Source organism: Homo sapiens, chromosome 1 (assembly GCF_000001405.40).
Source record: "Homo sapiens chromosome 1, GRCh38.p14 Primary Assembly".
NCBI lineage: Eukaryota > Metazoa > Chordata > Mammalia > Primates > Hominidae > Homo > Homo sapiens.
This window is the reverse complement of record NC_000001.11, coordinates 233,722,323-233,738,066: the sequence shown is the minus strand read 5'-3', so window position 1 is coordinate 233,738,066 and position 15,744 is coordinate 233,722,323. Positions and strand designations below refer to the sequence as shown.

Sequence of the window (15,744 nt, the reverse complement as noted above, 5' to 3'; positions counted from 1 at the left end):
CTCACAAAAGTGTTACAGAGCAAGGGCTGAAATTCAAAATATCTGTATCTTCTTTGAATGGTTTTAATATCCAGATCAAGTGCAATGCCAACTATAGCGAACTCCCCTGAGGAGGCCTGGAAAGCTATTTGTACTTCTCCTTTGGTGGAATCCTGGTGGGCATATCTGAGATAAGGAAGGAAAGGACAGTGATGAGTACAGCGAAACATAAGCAGCACCAAAAACTCTTTAGAGGTTCTGGATGTGGCTTGATCTTTGCTTTACAAATATGCTGGGTCTAGAAAAAGCAAAAGTTAAGAAAGAAGTAGAAGCCAGTGGTGAAGATTTCTTTCCTAAGGTTGGAAACAAAAGCGATTGGTAACTTTTTTCCTAACGGCAGTAACCTCCTTTGAAATCTTTACCATTGGTTTTTACCTATTAACTTTTGCTTTATAAGGTCCTGGCACCTTATCTTTTATAACAACTATGTGGTTGGGAAAGACAAAAGAGCAACTGGGGCATTTCTAGCCCTGAGGATCTTGTCTTAGCTTCACTGAGCTACATACAAGTTATTCAGCATACCAATCAATTGCCTATGCTTCAGTCCTCTCCTCAAGTGAAGAAGTAAAAGTGTAAGCTCTTATAACAATTTAATGTAAAAGAGCTATTAATCATCATCATTGTTATCATGTTCCCAAAAAGCAAGACCCAACTATATGGTGTCTGAGGGATACCCACTTTAAATACTAAAGCATATTTAAGAGAGGTACAACTTGTAAGTAGTTAAAAGAATGAAAAGTACAAAACTGGAACAAAAGCAGAAATTTGTGGGGTACCTAACATAGCCCCAGGAAAGTCAGGGATGAGGCTTGCCTCAGGGAGCAGCTAACCCAGGGATACAGGGTGGTAGTAAGGCATTGCTATCTGTTTTTGTCTGTCTCTGGCCTCTTACTTTCTCCACTGTAGTTTTTCTTAGCTCTGATTATCTTTCTCCAATGGGCAGCGAACAGGGATGGGAAATGGCAGCTACCATTTCTCACAAAATGTACTGAAAGTTTATTGTGTGCCCAGTATTGTTCTAAATTTTTTAGATGTATTCACTAAAATTTCACCACTTTATCAGGTTAAGTGCTACTATTATCCCTATTTTACAGAAGGAAACTAAGAGACAGAGTCAAAATAAGTTGCCCAAGGTCACACAGATAAAAGTGGTGAAACTGGGATTCCTAGGTTTAGCCCCAGAGAGACGCTGTTTTTTTTTTTCCTCTGGCTTCAGTTGGGAAATCCTTAAAGCAAGACTCTTGAGTTGGTGACGGTCACCAGTCCTCTTCCGTCTTCTTCCCTTTGCCCAGGTGTATTCTCTAATGACAAAGCTGCTCCCACTAAATCAATATGCTTGGAACAGAAGAAGGTGCATTTCCCAGAGGAGAAAGGAGAGCTGGATTATAAAATCAGTATGCATTCACGCAGAGTCACCTGGAAATGAACCAATCAAAGGATACCTTTTGAGATGTGCAGGTTAAAAGGGGTAAATGACACCAGTCTCCTTGCAACTTGCTTCTCTTTCTCCTCAACAGTAACTTCCACTATACTTTGGAGATTTACCTTCTACATATGTGAGAAAGGAAAGAAGTGTGTGTGTGTGTGTGTGTGTGTGTACACATGTATGTATATACACATGGATATATATACCATTTTATATATATATAGGTATACATGGATATATATACATACATGTGTACTAAACTTATAAAATTTGCATTGCTTCGGTTTTTATACCATGCTAATGTTTCAGTAAAACAGGGCTCTGCCAAGATCACGCCACTGCACTCCAGCCTGGCGACAAAGCAAGACTCCGGCTCAAAAAATAAAAAACAAACAAACAAAAACAGAGCTCTGTTTTTGTAAACTAGCCATCATCAGACAGGCCTGTAGCATTTTATTGTATTTTGTCACCACATATTTGCTTAATATTCACAGCTGATAGAGGCACTTAACTGCTTCCAGTCAGTGTGATTCAGAAAAGATAAATGTTAATAACCTGTTAGAGAAGTTATGCCGAGGCATTATTGTAGAAAGGGAACTGCTCCTGTATCTAACTTAGCAATCTTATTTAGACATTCCTTTCTCAACTGAACATATCATTCTCTGTTTCTCAAATATTCTCCTAAGCAGCTCTTTTGTCTTTCTGTTGGTTCAGCCAGTTAAACTTTGGTATTTCTATCCAATACGTTTGAATGTTGCCTTAACATATGGAAGGCACATGCATTTTTTGACCTAGATAAAAGCTATGATGTTGGCTGTATAATACCCCTTCCCCTCTTCTGATGGAGGAAGTGCTGCCGAGTACTGGATTGGGCATCTTGACACCATCAGCCACCTCCCCACTTCATGAAGGGGTCCTCCTGTGGCGAAGGAGCCCTAGATGGGGAGACAAGGGTATGGGAACAAAAGGTAGGGGTCAGCTGGCCATGGGTGGGGAAGGTCCAGTCTGAGAGCTGCTATTCTGAAGTACAACCTTAGGGCATTTGCTATTCCTAGCATTTTTGCTGTCCTGAGGCTGTCCAGACATTAAGGCTGAGTTATGCTCCTTGCTTCAAAAGAAGATAAAATCTAAACAAGAGCAAGGGAATTAAATGGCCCCCTTTTGGCATTCAAAGCACTCTTGAAGCCCTTTTCAGAGACAATAGTTGCAAAAAGCTAGAGCTAGACTTTTTTGAGAGAAAAAGAGATTTTCAAGTCCCAGTGAGCCAAAACTTCCTGGAATCTAGGTTTATAAACTAAACATAGGTAGGAAAGATGAGGATATCATGTTCGAACATTTCCCTGGCTCAAAATGTTACCGGAAAGGGGTCTCAATCAGGACCTCAAGAGAGGGTTCTTGGATCCCACACAAGAAAGAATTTGAGGTGAGTCCATAGAGTAAAGTGAAAGCAAGTTTATTTATTAATAAAGTGAAGGAATAAGGAATGGCTACTCCACAGGCCCTCAGGACTGCCGGTTGTCTATTTTATGGTTATTTCCTGATTATATGCTAAACAACAGGTGGATTTTTCAAGAGTTTTCTGGGAAAGGGGTGGGCAATTTCCGGAACCGAGAGTTCTCCCTTAGACCATATAGGGTAACTTCCTGACGTTGACCATGGCATTGGCAAGCTGTCATGGCTCTGGTGGGAGTGTTTTTTAGCATGCTAATGCAATATAATTAGCACATAATGAGCAGTGAAGACCACCAGAGGTCGCGAAGTGAAGACGACCAGAGCAGTGAAGACGACCAGAGGTCACGTTCATCATCTTGGTAGGTTTTCGCTGACTTCTTTACCACATGCTGTTTTACCTACCCTGTTGCCAATTCTAGGTCACTGTCCCAACCTGTCATAAGTGAGGGGAACACACTCTTGTGTTGACCTTGTCCCTCATCTTGTGACTTAGAATGCAGCCCAGTAGGTCTCAGCCTTATTTTACCCAGCCCCTATTCAAGATGGAGTCGCTCTGGTTCAAACACCTCTTACAAAAGGAAGGCATGGAAACTTTTTCTGACCTGCACAAGGATGCAGGAGCTATTTGAAGCTAAGGAGCAGATGGTAGACTGAGTAGGGACCCAGTGCCTCAGCCACCCTGGCCCTTGTGTATATGTGTAGGTGTGTGTATGAGGGATGGGGCAGCAGATGATAGATTAAAGAATTGATAGGGCTTGTTTTTTATTTTTTGTTTGGAACTATCGGAAGGAAACCATCTCAAAAGCTTCCCCATACTTATGACAGGTTGGGACAGTGACTTAGAATTGGTAGTTGGTAGGCTGCAGAGAAAAAAAGCTCAAAATAGTACCTCTCTGGCCTGCCTGAATGAGGAGAGAGGCAGGTGTTTCCGCAAGTCTAGTGAGGGTCGAAGGAATGTAGAGGGGATTGGTGGATTGGAAGAGGCCTGAGGCCGGCAAGAGAATGCTGCAGAGTGTGCAGGCTTTGTGGTCCCACACCTGACAGAGAAAAAATGATATCAGCAATAGGCGCACTGTCCCCTCTGGAAGACTAGGTGGGACCAAGGAGATCTGCAGCAGGTGCGGAAGGACTAGAGATCACCTTACAAAGATCAAGAGTTTATGCAGATCAAAGCTGGTAGGACCCAGAGGACAGCACCAGGACGTGAACCCTGCTGTACACAGATGCCGTCCTAGGAGACAGGCAATACACAACAGAACTGATAGAGAATCTGAACTTTAAGTTTAAAGCTTGGATGGAGTGAGTAATTACCCCAAAACGGGATGTACTTCTAAACCAAAGAAACCAAATCTTCCTAGGCAGAATTAAGTGGGAACTTTGGAGCTAAGAAAAGTTCATTTTCCAGAAAAATGTCCCATCTCTATGAGAACTAAACTCTGTCCTTTTTTTCTCTTTTGCCCAAATTTTTTTCTTTTTTCTTTTTTTTTTGATACAGAGTCTCTGTTGCCCAGGCTGGAGTGCAGTGGCGCGATCTCGGCTCACTGCAAGCTTCGCCTCCCAGGTTCACGCCATTCTCCTGCCTCAGCCTCCCTAGTAGCTGGGACTACAGGCGCCTGCCACCACGCTCGGCTAATTTTTTGTATTTTTAGTAGAGATGGGGTTTCACTGTGTTAGCCAGGATGGTCTTGATCTCCTGACCTCATGATCCGCCCGCCTCAGCCTCCCAAAGTGCTGGGATTACAGGCGTGAGCCACCGCGCCCGGCCTTTTGCCCAAATTTCTATCTAAGCGGCCTGGGAGTCATGCTCTACACACCATAAAATCTTGCCAGATGGGTTGCATTTAACCCTATATAATACTTTCCAACCTGACTCTGGCATAACATCACATGACGGATAAAGAGGAAATCAAAATATTTTAACACAAAATATGTTTCTTTGCCATACTTTGAAATGATTCTGTGGAGTTGTCTTTTGTTGGGGGGAGATTTGCATCCTGTAAAGAATCTATTAACACAATGAAATATTTTCCCTTCCAGACCCTCCCAATCCTGAAGAGATTGAGAGTCTAGCACTTTTTACAGGTCTGAATAGGAAATATTTGCCACTTATTATCTCTAAGAGTGGCCAGTTCTGACATTTGATCTACATAATAAGTACTTTGGTCTCCACAACCCTTTCTCTTAACACAGACACTTCTTTCTGTTGATTCCAGGCTTTCAGATCATAACTTAATTGTTTCAACCAATTGACAATCAGAAAATTTTTTGGTTTTGCGTGTTTGTGTTTTTTTGGTTATTTTTTTGAGACAGTCTTGCTGTGTTGCCCAGGCTGGAGTGCAGTGGTGCCATCTTGGCCCACTGTAACCTCTGCCTCCCAGGTTTCAAGTGATTTTCATGCCTTAGTCTCCAGAGTAGCTGGAATTACAGGCATGTGCCATGCTGGGCTAATTTTTGTATTTTTAGTAAAGATCAGGTTTCACCAGGTTGGCCAGGCTAGTCTCAAACTCCTGGTCTCAAGGGATCTGCCCACCTCGGCCTCCCAAAGTATTGGGATTACAGGCATGAGCCACCGTGCCTAGTTGCCAATCAGAAAATCTTTAAATCTACCTATGACCTGTAAGCCTCCACTTCAAATTGTTCTGCAATTCTGGACCAAACCATGTATCAATGATTAATGTCTTATGTCTTCCTAAAAGGTATAAAACCAAGCTGTAACCCAACCACCGTGGGCACATGTCCCAGGACCTCTTGAGACTGTGCCTTGGGCCATGGCCACTAATATTTGGCTCAGAATATATCTCTTCAAATGTTTTACAGAGTTTGGCTCTTTTTTTGACATCTACATATATCAGCATTCACACAGAATTCACTCACAGAATCATAAGATATTCATAAGATACAGGAGACTTCAGCCCCAGATCAGTCTTACCAGTATCAGATCTAACCTATGACTGTACAAATAAACTAAAAGATCTAATTTTTAAGATAGCTTTTAACCAAAGGCAAACCCTCTTATTAAAAAGTCTTTCTTAGGATAAACAAGCTTGCTTGCTTTTTTCTTTTTTTTTTCTGAGACAGGGTCTCACTTTGTCACCCAGGCTGAGTACAGTGGCACAACCTTGGCTCACTGCAACCTCCACCTCCCCAGTTCAAGCGATTCTCCCACCTCAGCCTCCTAACTAGGATTACAGATGAATGCCACCATACCCAGCTAATTTTTGTATTTTTTGCTAGAGACGGGTTTTCACCCTGTTGGCTAAGCTGGTCTCGAACTCCTGATCTCTGGTGATCCACCTGCCTCAGCTTCCCAAAGTGCTGGGATTACAGGTGTGAGCCACTGCACCTGGCCCAAAGCTTATTTTGTACTAGATATCTCAGTTCACTTGTACAGCAGTGTCTTGTTGGTTGTTTTTGTTTTTGAGACAGAGTCTCACTCTGTCACCCAGGCTGGAATGCAGTGGCATGATCTCAGCTCACTGGCTCACTGCAACCTCCACCTCCCAGGTTCAAACTATTCTCATGCCTCAGCACCCTGAGTAGCTGGGATTACAGTCATGTGCCACCATGCCCTATTAATTTTTGTATTTTTAGTAATGACGGGATTTCACTATGTTGGCCAGGCTGGCCTCAAACTCCTGAGATACAGAAGGAAGATAAGGGGGCCTGGAGAATCTTCCACTGGCCTGCCCACTGGGTGGATGGGGTGGAGCCTTGGGAAGTTCCTGCCATTTGCAGGGGGAGGAGCGTGGTTCCTTCTCAATCTGTGAGATGGGGGCCTGTTAACAGGAACCTCTCTCACTTTGCTGAGAGTTTATCTTCCTTTTCACCCAATAAATTCCATTCTCCCTCACCCTTAAAAGCGTCTGCGTGTCTAACTTTTCCTGGTCGTGTGACAAGAACGCAGTTTTTTTTTTCTATGATATTTTTGGCATCCAGACATAGGGCGTGAGGGAGGGTGAGTATCACGCAAACCAAAAGATCATTTTTTTCTTTTGCTTCTAAGCCTTTTTGTCCTCATACCTCTTCTGAGGATAGAGAAAACTGTACCCCACCCCACCACAACAGCTGCAGGTGCACGTGGGATAGATCAGTGAATGGTGGCTCTCCTGCTCCCCTCCTGGCCAGGGCTGGAATGCATGGCCCAAGGGTGCCCAAAGGCAGGCTGGCCAGCTCCCTGCCACACAGCCACAGAGCCTTCCCCTCCCCCAGCCAAGGGGTCCCACTCCATCGGACAGCAATTAAGTTACTCTCCCTGGTGGAGGAACTCATTTGCAAAAGAATAAAACGTTCTTCCCCAGGCATCTTTTTTCTTTTCCCTACCCTGTCAGCAGTTGACTTTTAAGTGAGTTTTTTTTTCCCTTTTGGAAGACATTTTGATGTGCCAAAAATAATAGAGATCACTGTTTATATTCTCTGTAAAGTTTTAATTATGAAAAAGGATTTATGAGGTTGGTCTTGAGTTGTAGCCAATCTGGTGTGCTTTCCATGTCTTTCTGTATAGTCCGCAGCAAACTCTGTGGCAGGCCTCCATCTTGTTTCACATCTTTGGGAGTGTGGCCTGCAACCACGTGACAATGGTTTTGTTTTGGCCTCCGCCATTTTACAATGGTGGCCTGGGGTTCAATCCTGGTGTAGGGAATGAGTCCTTTCTGGTTTGGTATCTACGCAACCTTTGCTCTCTGTTCTCTTCCCCTCCACAAACAGCCTTGAATTTTCCTTTCTCTGAGCCTTTAATGAAGTTTGAAAGCCAGAAATATTGGCCCCCTGGCGTGGCTAAATTAAGGTTATAAGAGAGTTAAAAAGATTTTCTTAAAGAGCACCCAGGTTAATTATAAGTGGATATAAGTCATAAGTATATTTAAAAGGCCTTTACGTTTTTCTTTTCTTGGATCTTGTTTTGCTAGAAAGAGGTTTTTTTCTCAGTCGACTGAATTATTTTTCTCCATTTGGCCTTGCCACTCTCAGTGCCTACATGAGAGAAGAGAGACCTCTGTTTTCCTCACGGAAGCCCAGAAATTAAAAGTGGATAGATACCTCTCAAAATCTGTTTTTTGCCCCATTTATGGCTGTTTATTAGGCCTTAGAAGCTGCATGTTTTCCTAGCCCTGTTTCTTATTTTTTTTTTTTTTGAGACGGAGTCTCGCTCTGTCGCCCAAGCTGGAGTACAGTGGCGCGATCTCGGCTCACTACAAGCTCCGCCTCCCGGGTTCACGCCATTCTCCTGCCTCAGCCTCCCGAGTAGCTGGGACTACATAAGGCGCCCACCACCACGCCTGGCTAATTTTTTTTGTATTTTTAGTAGAGATGGGGTTTCACTGTGTTAGCCAGGATGATCTCGATCTCCTGATCTACCTGCCTCCCAAAGTGCTCCCAAAGTGCTGGGATTACAAGCGTGAGCCACCGCGCCCAGCCAGCCCTGTTTCTTTTTTTTTTTTTTTTTTTTTTTTTTTTTGAGACGGAGTCTCGCTCTGTCGCCCAGGCCGGACTGCGGACTGCAGTGGTGCAATCTCGGCTCACTGCAAGCTCCGCTTCCCGGGTTCACGCCATTCTCCTGCCTCAGCCTCCCCAGTAGCTGGGACTACAGGCGCCCGCCACCGCGCCCGGCTAATTTTTTGTATTTTTAGTAGAGACGGGGTTTCACCTTGTTAGCCAGGATGGTCTCGATCTCCTGACCTCATGATCCACCCGCCTCGGCCTCCCAAAGTGCTGGGATTACAGGCGTGAGCCACCGCGCCCGGCCGCCAGCCCTGTTTCTTAAAGGGCTCCACCTAGAGGCCAATAATCCAATTAGGAGATTGGCAAATGAAAGATCTTATGGTGACTGGGTTTTCTTCTGCCTGTCTCTGTAGCTATATATGTGTTGTGTGTGATGACTATAAAAAGACCTCTAATTGACCTAAAGGAAGATAAGCGCTTAGATCAAATATTTTTTAAAGGGAAGATAAAAAGCTGTGGTACCTTTCAGTTCATGTGACTTTAATCTTTGAGAAATAAAAACAGTATTAAAGATTACTGGCTAAAAGCAGATGTTGTCAAAATATAAATAGATTGGCTAAATTATGCAGGTCAGGTGCCGGGTTTGCTAAATGTTTTAAGGTTATAAGCTGCTTTTTGGATTTTGACAACTGTTTGACTTGCCTTCTCCACATTTGGTAAGGCCTGAGGACATACAGAACTAATCACACAATTAATTATGCTGGAAGGAGTAAAACCTTCGCTGCACCTGGCACACAATCAAAACAACTTGCCAAGTTTTACATTAAAGTTAAAAATTGCTAGGAGTTACCATTATAACATGTAATTGAAACTACTGGAAATAAATTTATATGCTAGGTGTGCAGGAACAGTAAAACGTGTTTTAGTGTAAGACTATAAGAAGGCATGGAAATGTAAATTCTTGCCTAGGGTTAAAGCCTTGTTTCGAATTAGACAGAATAAAGCTAAAAATTTGAATAAGTGGTGGCAAGACTGTCAAAATTAATCTTGCAAAAATTCTGTGTGTGAACATATGGACTAAATTCGAAAAGGTATTATATGGCTTTTCTGTAAATTGAACATTGAAATAAAGGCACAATAAGGTACTCTTAAGGCACGAATCTGTGCTAGCAAAATTTTTAAAGGGTTATAGAAAGTTTTTGCTTTTTATAAATTTCTGAGTCATCATTTTGGCAAAATAAATAATTTATGATAATCTGGAATTCTATTTCCTAACATCAAGTATTTTAAATCTCTAACACTTAACAGGCTTCCCAAAATCAAACCTCAGTTTCAAAATTGTCTTTCCTCACCCCTGGCTTTTGGATGCTTCAGAGGGCCCCTGGAGTATCCAAAAGAGGTAAACAGGATTATTTGACATGTTTAGGTACATGGGATTGCCAAAATGGTGTTCAATTATCTTTAGGTTAAATTTTGGTGAATGATACTAACGTAAGTTCCAAAATTGTATGGGATTTCTAAAATTCTAATGTCTAAAATATATGCTATTAACCATGATTAAGGTTATGTTAATTTATTGTAAACTGCAGAGATAACCAAACTTCCTTTTCAATTGTGTTTCCAACTGTAACTACCCTGGACATTTTGTTATTCACAGAAGATCATTGTCTTGTTTTAATCCTTTTCAAAAGATGGTTTATAGTAAGCTATAGGACTTGGACAGGTGCTCTCAAATACAGGTTTCTGATAACTTAGGAGATTGTGACAATGGAATAAAAGAAAAATGTACAGGACTCATGAAGAGCTAAAATCTTGACAAGTATCAAGCAAAACAAGGAGTTAACTAAATGACAGACTGAATTCAGAATGCTGAACCAATCTTTTTAACTTTTGCTTGGAATATTGCTAATCCTTGTTTTGTTTTTCAGAGTCAAGGAAACTTATTTTGAACTATTTATGGCCTTTAATAATTGAGTAAGTTATACTCCTGTGGACAAAATTTGGAGTATGTTTGTTTCTCTTTGCCTGGTTCCTGTAGAATTTGGAAACTATCGTGAGTATTCTCAATTTATGGCAATATAGTTGTTTGCATCAATGCAATTAAGAATCCATTTTCTTTTGCAAGAGAAACTGGTTTTTCTCTTTTTAGAGAAAAACTCAATTTAGAGAAACTGGTTGTTTTACCAAGGCTTTGACTAGAAGGGTATGCTTCCCTTTAAGGAGTCAAGCTCAACTTGCAGAGCCAATAAAAGGCCCTTGAGAAAACTGGCCTCATACCCTTGTCTACACAGTCCCTGTACAGGGTTCCTGGCCTGTGGTTAGTAAAGCATGTCACTTTCTAACAGGCCCAGGAGCTCCACGTTTATTTTGGGACCTTTAGAGGAGAGGATCATCCAACTCACAGGTATTTGAGGATACAAACCCATGGCTGGCCTTGGCTTCAAAGGTCTTGTAAACCCATGGCTGGGCTCAGCTTAAAAGGTCTTATCTGAGATTCCTTGTGGAACAGAGTTTCATCAAAGCCAGTCTAAAAGGCCTATGTAGAAATAGTTATTCTTGCTGCACTTTATGCAAATAATCAGGCCAAGTATAAGCCTAAATTTATTTTGCAAACAACACAGTCTTCTCATTTTTTTTAACAAAAATGAGGACCTGAGAGATAGAAATTATGTTTCAAAACTTACATCTGTCATTAAATTCTAAACTCATTAGTTATTTTTAAGTTTTTGCCTGCATTTTAGACTAACCCTACCTGGTTCTGTAAACCAACCAGCAATCTCTGGCTGTAGCTCAGAAAGAACAAAAGGGATGGGTAATGTAGAAATATGGATCAATATTCTAGTTCTAAACAATTGTCCTGCAAATCCTATCAGGTGATGGGAATAAATAGGATGCCCATCCCTGGAGGTTTTTTTTTTTTTTTTGGGAAAGTAAGACCAGGAGTGTTAACCAAAGCCAAGCACCACACACCCAAATCTTAGAAAGCACAACTATAGCCACCAGTTATCTGGCCATGTCACAAGACACCCTTTTTTCTCCCTTGTTAGAGGAGGACTCAATTCCACAGCTCACCTTAGCATTTGGATTACGATAAGGAGTCCACGCAAACCCCCTGAGACAAATTTTTGTCTGAAACTCAATGTCAAGCTTCAAGTCAAAGCTCTAGGAAAGAAAACTGTATCTGAGGGATCCAGAGGCAGATAATAACAGAAATTAAAACGCACAACACAGGTGAACATGGCTGATTGCTGCCAATTAAGCCAAGCTTCCCATTTCATGGATAAAGCTCACACTAGTATCACACTTATCCATAAATGAAGTCTAGGGAATTCAAGGCTATTGACTGCAGAGGATATTGGGCATATGTGGGTAAGAGCAGATCCTCCCACCTACTAGGCCCCCTGTTAATATGGTGAAAGCTGCTTTAACGCTTATGTGTGGCGCCCTGTCGCAGTCACCAGGACTCAGGGATACAAGGTCAGAACAAAGAAAGAGGAAGGCCTCACTTTCCCTCCCTCACATACCCCAAGTTTTTGCTAGAAAGAGAAAGAAACCAGGGTCACCTGCTGCACTCTTTCTAGAGGAGTAGCCATTCATCTTCAGTCTGTAACTGCTTTCAAATGCATCCTGAACCCCTGGGACTCCTTTGAAAATGAGTGTTTTTTTTTCCTTCCTCCTCTTCTGTCCCCTCTTTACTGATAAGTAATTGTGTCTCCGTACTACAGGACACTCCCCTCAGATGCATCCTCTAAACTAGAAACAGTTAACTTCCCAAACCTTAAACTGGTTGCCTTAGGATTGGGCTCAGTGGAAGAAAACCCAGAAACCTGACATGCTCCCAAACGGGCCTTTGGCTTCTCTTTCCCTGTGCAAACTGGTAAAAGGCCTTGGGATTTTTGAGTTGTCGTTACCCGCCCCCAGCCCAAACCTTATTTCGTTTTGATACATGTTTTCTAATAACCCGGTTTGTCTCTTCTTGCCTTCAGGCCATCCCACTCCAAATGGTCATGCAGTTGAAGCCTTGGATGCTGGCCCCTTCTGCCAAGGACCCTTACATAGACCTCTGAGGGAGCTCTGACTACCATTTCCTCAAAACAGTGCCCCCTGTCAGCAGGAAGCAGTTAAGATTGATCTTCATCCTTATCCTTACTCTGATGGCAGTGACATGTACTTCTTCAGAGGGAGGAATGATAGCTGCAGGAGGAAAATAACGGTGAATATCCCCAGAGAATCTCCCACCGGCCTGCGTGATGGAGGGATGGGGTGGAGTCTCGGGAAATTTGCGCTGTTTGCACTGGGGGAGGCTGGCCCCTTCTGTTCCTGGGTAGAACCTGGGATTCAAACTGTGAAATGGGGCCCCGTTAACAGGAACTTCTCTCACTTTTCTGAGAGGTTTTCTTCCTTTTCACACAATAAATTCCATTCCCTCTCCCCTTCAAAGTGTCTGTGTGCCTAACTTTTCCTGGTCGTGTGACAAGAACCTGGCTTTTTTTCCTACAACACTGGCCTCAGGTGACCCACCCGCCTCAGCCTCCGAAAGTGCTAGGTGTGAGCCACCGCTCCCAGCCTGCAGCAGTTTTTGACTTATTGCAACCACCAGACACACCATTAACTCCCAACACTCTTATTCCTTGAAAAGGTAAATAATTTTAGAGCTGGGCATGGTGGCTCACACCTGTAATCCCACACTTTGGAAGGCTGAAGAGGGTGGATCGCCTGAGATCAGGAGTTCCAGACCAGCCTGGCCAACATGGTGAAACCCCGTCTCTACTAAAAATACAAAATGTTACCTGGGTGTGGTGGCGGGCGCATGTAATCCCAGCTACTGTGTCCGGAATTGGCGGGTTCTTGGTCTCACTGACTTCAAGTATGAAGCCGCGGACACTTGTGGTGAGTGTTACAGTTCTTAAAGATGGTGTGTCCAGAGTTTGTTCCTTCTGATGTTCAGACGTGTCTGGAGTTTCTTCCTACTGCTGGGTTTGTGGTCTCGCTGACTTCAGGAGTGAAGCTGCAGACCTTCGCGGTGAGGGTTACAGTTCATAAAGCTGGCACTCCAGAGTTGTTCGTCCCTCCCGGTGGTCTCCCTTCGTGGTCTCGCTGTCTTCAGGAGTGAAGTGCAGACCTTCGCAGTGAGTGTTACAGCTCATAAAGATTAGCGCAGCCCCAAAAAGTGAGCAACAGCAAGAGTCACTGAGAAGAGCGAAAGAACAAACCTCCCACAGACTGGAACTGGACCCCAGCAGGTTGCTGGTGCTGACGCGGGTGGCCTGCTTTTATTTGGCCCCACCCACATCCTGCTGATTGGTCCATTTTACAGAGAGCTGATTGGTCCATTTTACAGAGTGCTGATTGGTCCGTTTTACAGAGTGCTGATTGGTCCGTTTTGACAGAGTGTTGATTGGTGCATTTACAAACCTTTAGCTAGACACAGAGTGCTGATTGGTGCATTTACAATCCTTTAGCTATACACAAAAGTTCTCCAAGTACCCTACCCGATTAGCTAGACACAGAGTGCTGATTGGTGCATTTACAAACCTATAGCTAGACACAGAGCCCTGATTGGTGCATTTACAATCCTTTAGCTAGACGGAAAAGTTCTCCAAGTCCCCACCTGACCCAGAAGCCCAGCGGGCTTCACCTCTCACTGCTGGAGAGGCTGAGGCAGGAGAATCACTTGAACCCAGGAGGCAGAGGTTGCAGTGAGCTGCGATCGCACCATTGCACTCTAGCCTGGGCTATAAGAGCAAAACTCCGTCTCAAAAAAAAAAAAAAGAAGAAAGAAAAAGTAGATCATGTTTTAAATATTTGCCTCGTGTAATGCAGAATTACTATTTACCTTTTGAGATTTTATTTTATTTATAGACCTTTTCTTAAGCTCAAAGAAGATGGTGTGACCCTATAACCATAGGCCAGAGGAATGAGAATGCCAACAGTGAAAGGAGGCTAAGGTGGTAAATCAGACAGGAGCTCGACGCAGAATGCAGCAGGCTGAAGTGCCGCTGACATGGCTTTCTTATTTGCCATGCAAGCTTAAAAAAGGAGAAATAAGGGGCATGCTCTTCACGGGGCCAGCTCTTATCTGGTGGGATGAAGAGTTACACAGCTCCGTGTTATCCTAACTGGGCAGCCTTCCCTGGCACCTCTCAGGCTAGCTGAATGCCTTTTCTCCTTCTTTGTCATCCTAGTATGACACTGTATTATGATGGCCTGTTTGTGTGTCCAGCCCTCTAATAGGTGAGCTCTTTTAAGTCAGTGATTTTTATTAATAACTTTAATAATCCTGATGCCTCGCACACTGCACAAAATTTAATAATGTAACTGTGGGACCAGAACAAACTGGGCCTACTCTCATGACAACAACATGTCAAGTTACCTTGTAGGTATAACAGAGCGAAATAACTGCATGTCATGTAGCCCAAGGATGCTCAAGGGAAAAAGCTTTGACCTCTGATAATGTCCGTAACCAGCCAATTTTCTCAGAACCAAGACTAGGATATGACCAGAACCTGAATACTGGAACTCTTTCAGAAGCAAGAGGTTCATTGGCCTGGAAGATCTTGTGCTAAGATCTGTCTCAGCATACTTCCAATCAGACCCTGTCAAGTCAGCATTCCTAAATTCTATCCCTAGCCTCTGATCCCTTAAAACTTTCCCCAGATCCCAAGTCAGGGAGCCAGATTTGAACCTACTTCCTGTCTTCCTGCTTGATGATTTTGCAATAAAGCCTTCCTTTTCTCAAAAGCCGGTGCCATGGTTCTTGGTTTCTGTCTACATCAGGCAGAGAGCCCATTTGCTCAAAAACAGTAAAAGCTCATTAACTGAGAACTGAGTAGAAGGAAAATAGGGAGGAAGAAGAAAGAGAAAAGAAGGGAGGAAAAAAGGAAGGAAGGAAAGAAAGAAGGGAGGAGGAAAAGGGAGAACAAAAGAAGAGAAAATAAGTAAACGGGAAAGAGTGGGAACTTCAGGGCATTGTGCCAAACCTCTGATCCCAAGGCATCATCCTGGCCTGACGTGAACTTGAAATTCTCTGGACACGGGAAGCCAGGACCTCTGTGCACTAACCTTGCTAAAATTCTCTCCTGCCTCTGCACTTTGCCAAAGTTGAATTGAATAGCATCCATTCTTTTCAGTTTCCACCCTAGAGCAACATTTTCAGTAGTAGAGTTATTCTGGGTTCTACAGGCAACAGAAATCAATGTCTGCCTCGTCTCTTTGACCTTGCATGTGAAGGGGAGCTTTTTTAGGTGATGCAAGTACAAAGGGAGAGTGAAGCCATAGGCAATTTGGACTGCTAAATATAGAGTGGCGCTTTTAAAAATGCTGTCTTGGCCGCTCTGAGTGTCTGGAAAGACCTGCCGGTCACTGGCAAGGACAAAGGATCAGCTTTGACT

At 43.2% G+C, this 15,744-nt stretch overlaps 1 long non-coding RNA gene across 1 annotated transcript, besides 3 other annotated features; it reads right to left on the bottom strand.

Moving 5' to 3' along the window:
- Positions 1-2,902: 2,902 nt before the first annotated feature.
- LOC124904552 (uncharacterized) lies at positions 2,903-13,602 on the bottom strand. The gene is made up of 2 exons (XR_007066947.1): positions 13,144-13,602; positions 2,903-7,885 (listed from the first exon to the last, which is right to left on the bottom strand). It is a non-coding gene; the product is annotated as an uncharacterized LOC124904552 (long non-coding RNA).
- Positions 6,477-7,248: an enhancer, noted in NCBI's record as "NANOG-H3K27ac-H3K4me1 hESC enhancer chr1:233866565-233867336 (GRCh37/hg19 assembly coordinates)". NCBI's record gives its function as "activates a minimal SCP1, AML or CMV promoter by ChIP-STARR-seq in naive H9 embryonic stem cells {active_cell/tissue: H9 hESC(naive)}" and the evidence as "EXISTENCE:reporter gene assay evidence [ECO:0000049][PMID:30033119]".
- Positions 7,249-8,019: an enhancer, noted in NCBI's record as "NANOG-H3K27ac-H3K4me1 hESC enhancer chr1:233865794-233866564 (GRCh37/hg19 assembly coordinates)". NCBI's record gives its function as "activates a minimal SCP1, AML or CMV promoter by ChIP-STARR-seq in primed H9 embryonic stem cells {active_cell/tissue: H9 hESC(primed)}" and the evidence as "EXISTENCE:reporter gene assay evidence [ECO:0000049][PMID:30033119]".
- Positions 12,886-14,085: an enhancer, noted in NCBI's record as "BRD4-independent group 4 enhancer chr1:233859728-233860927 (GRCh37/hg19 assembly coordinates)". NCBI's record gives its function as "activates an origin of replication core promoter dependent on BRD2, P300/CBP, MED14 and CDK7 cofactors, and independent of BRD4, by STARR-seq in HCT116 cells {active_cell/tissue: HCT116}" and the evidence as "EXISTENCE:reporter gene assay evidence [ECO:0000049][PMID:35650434]".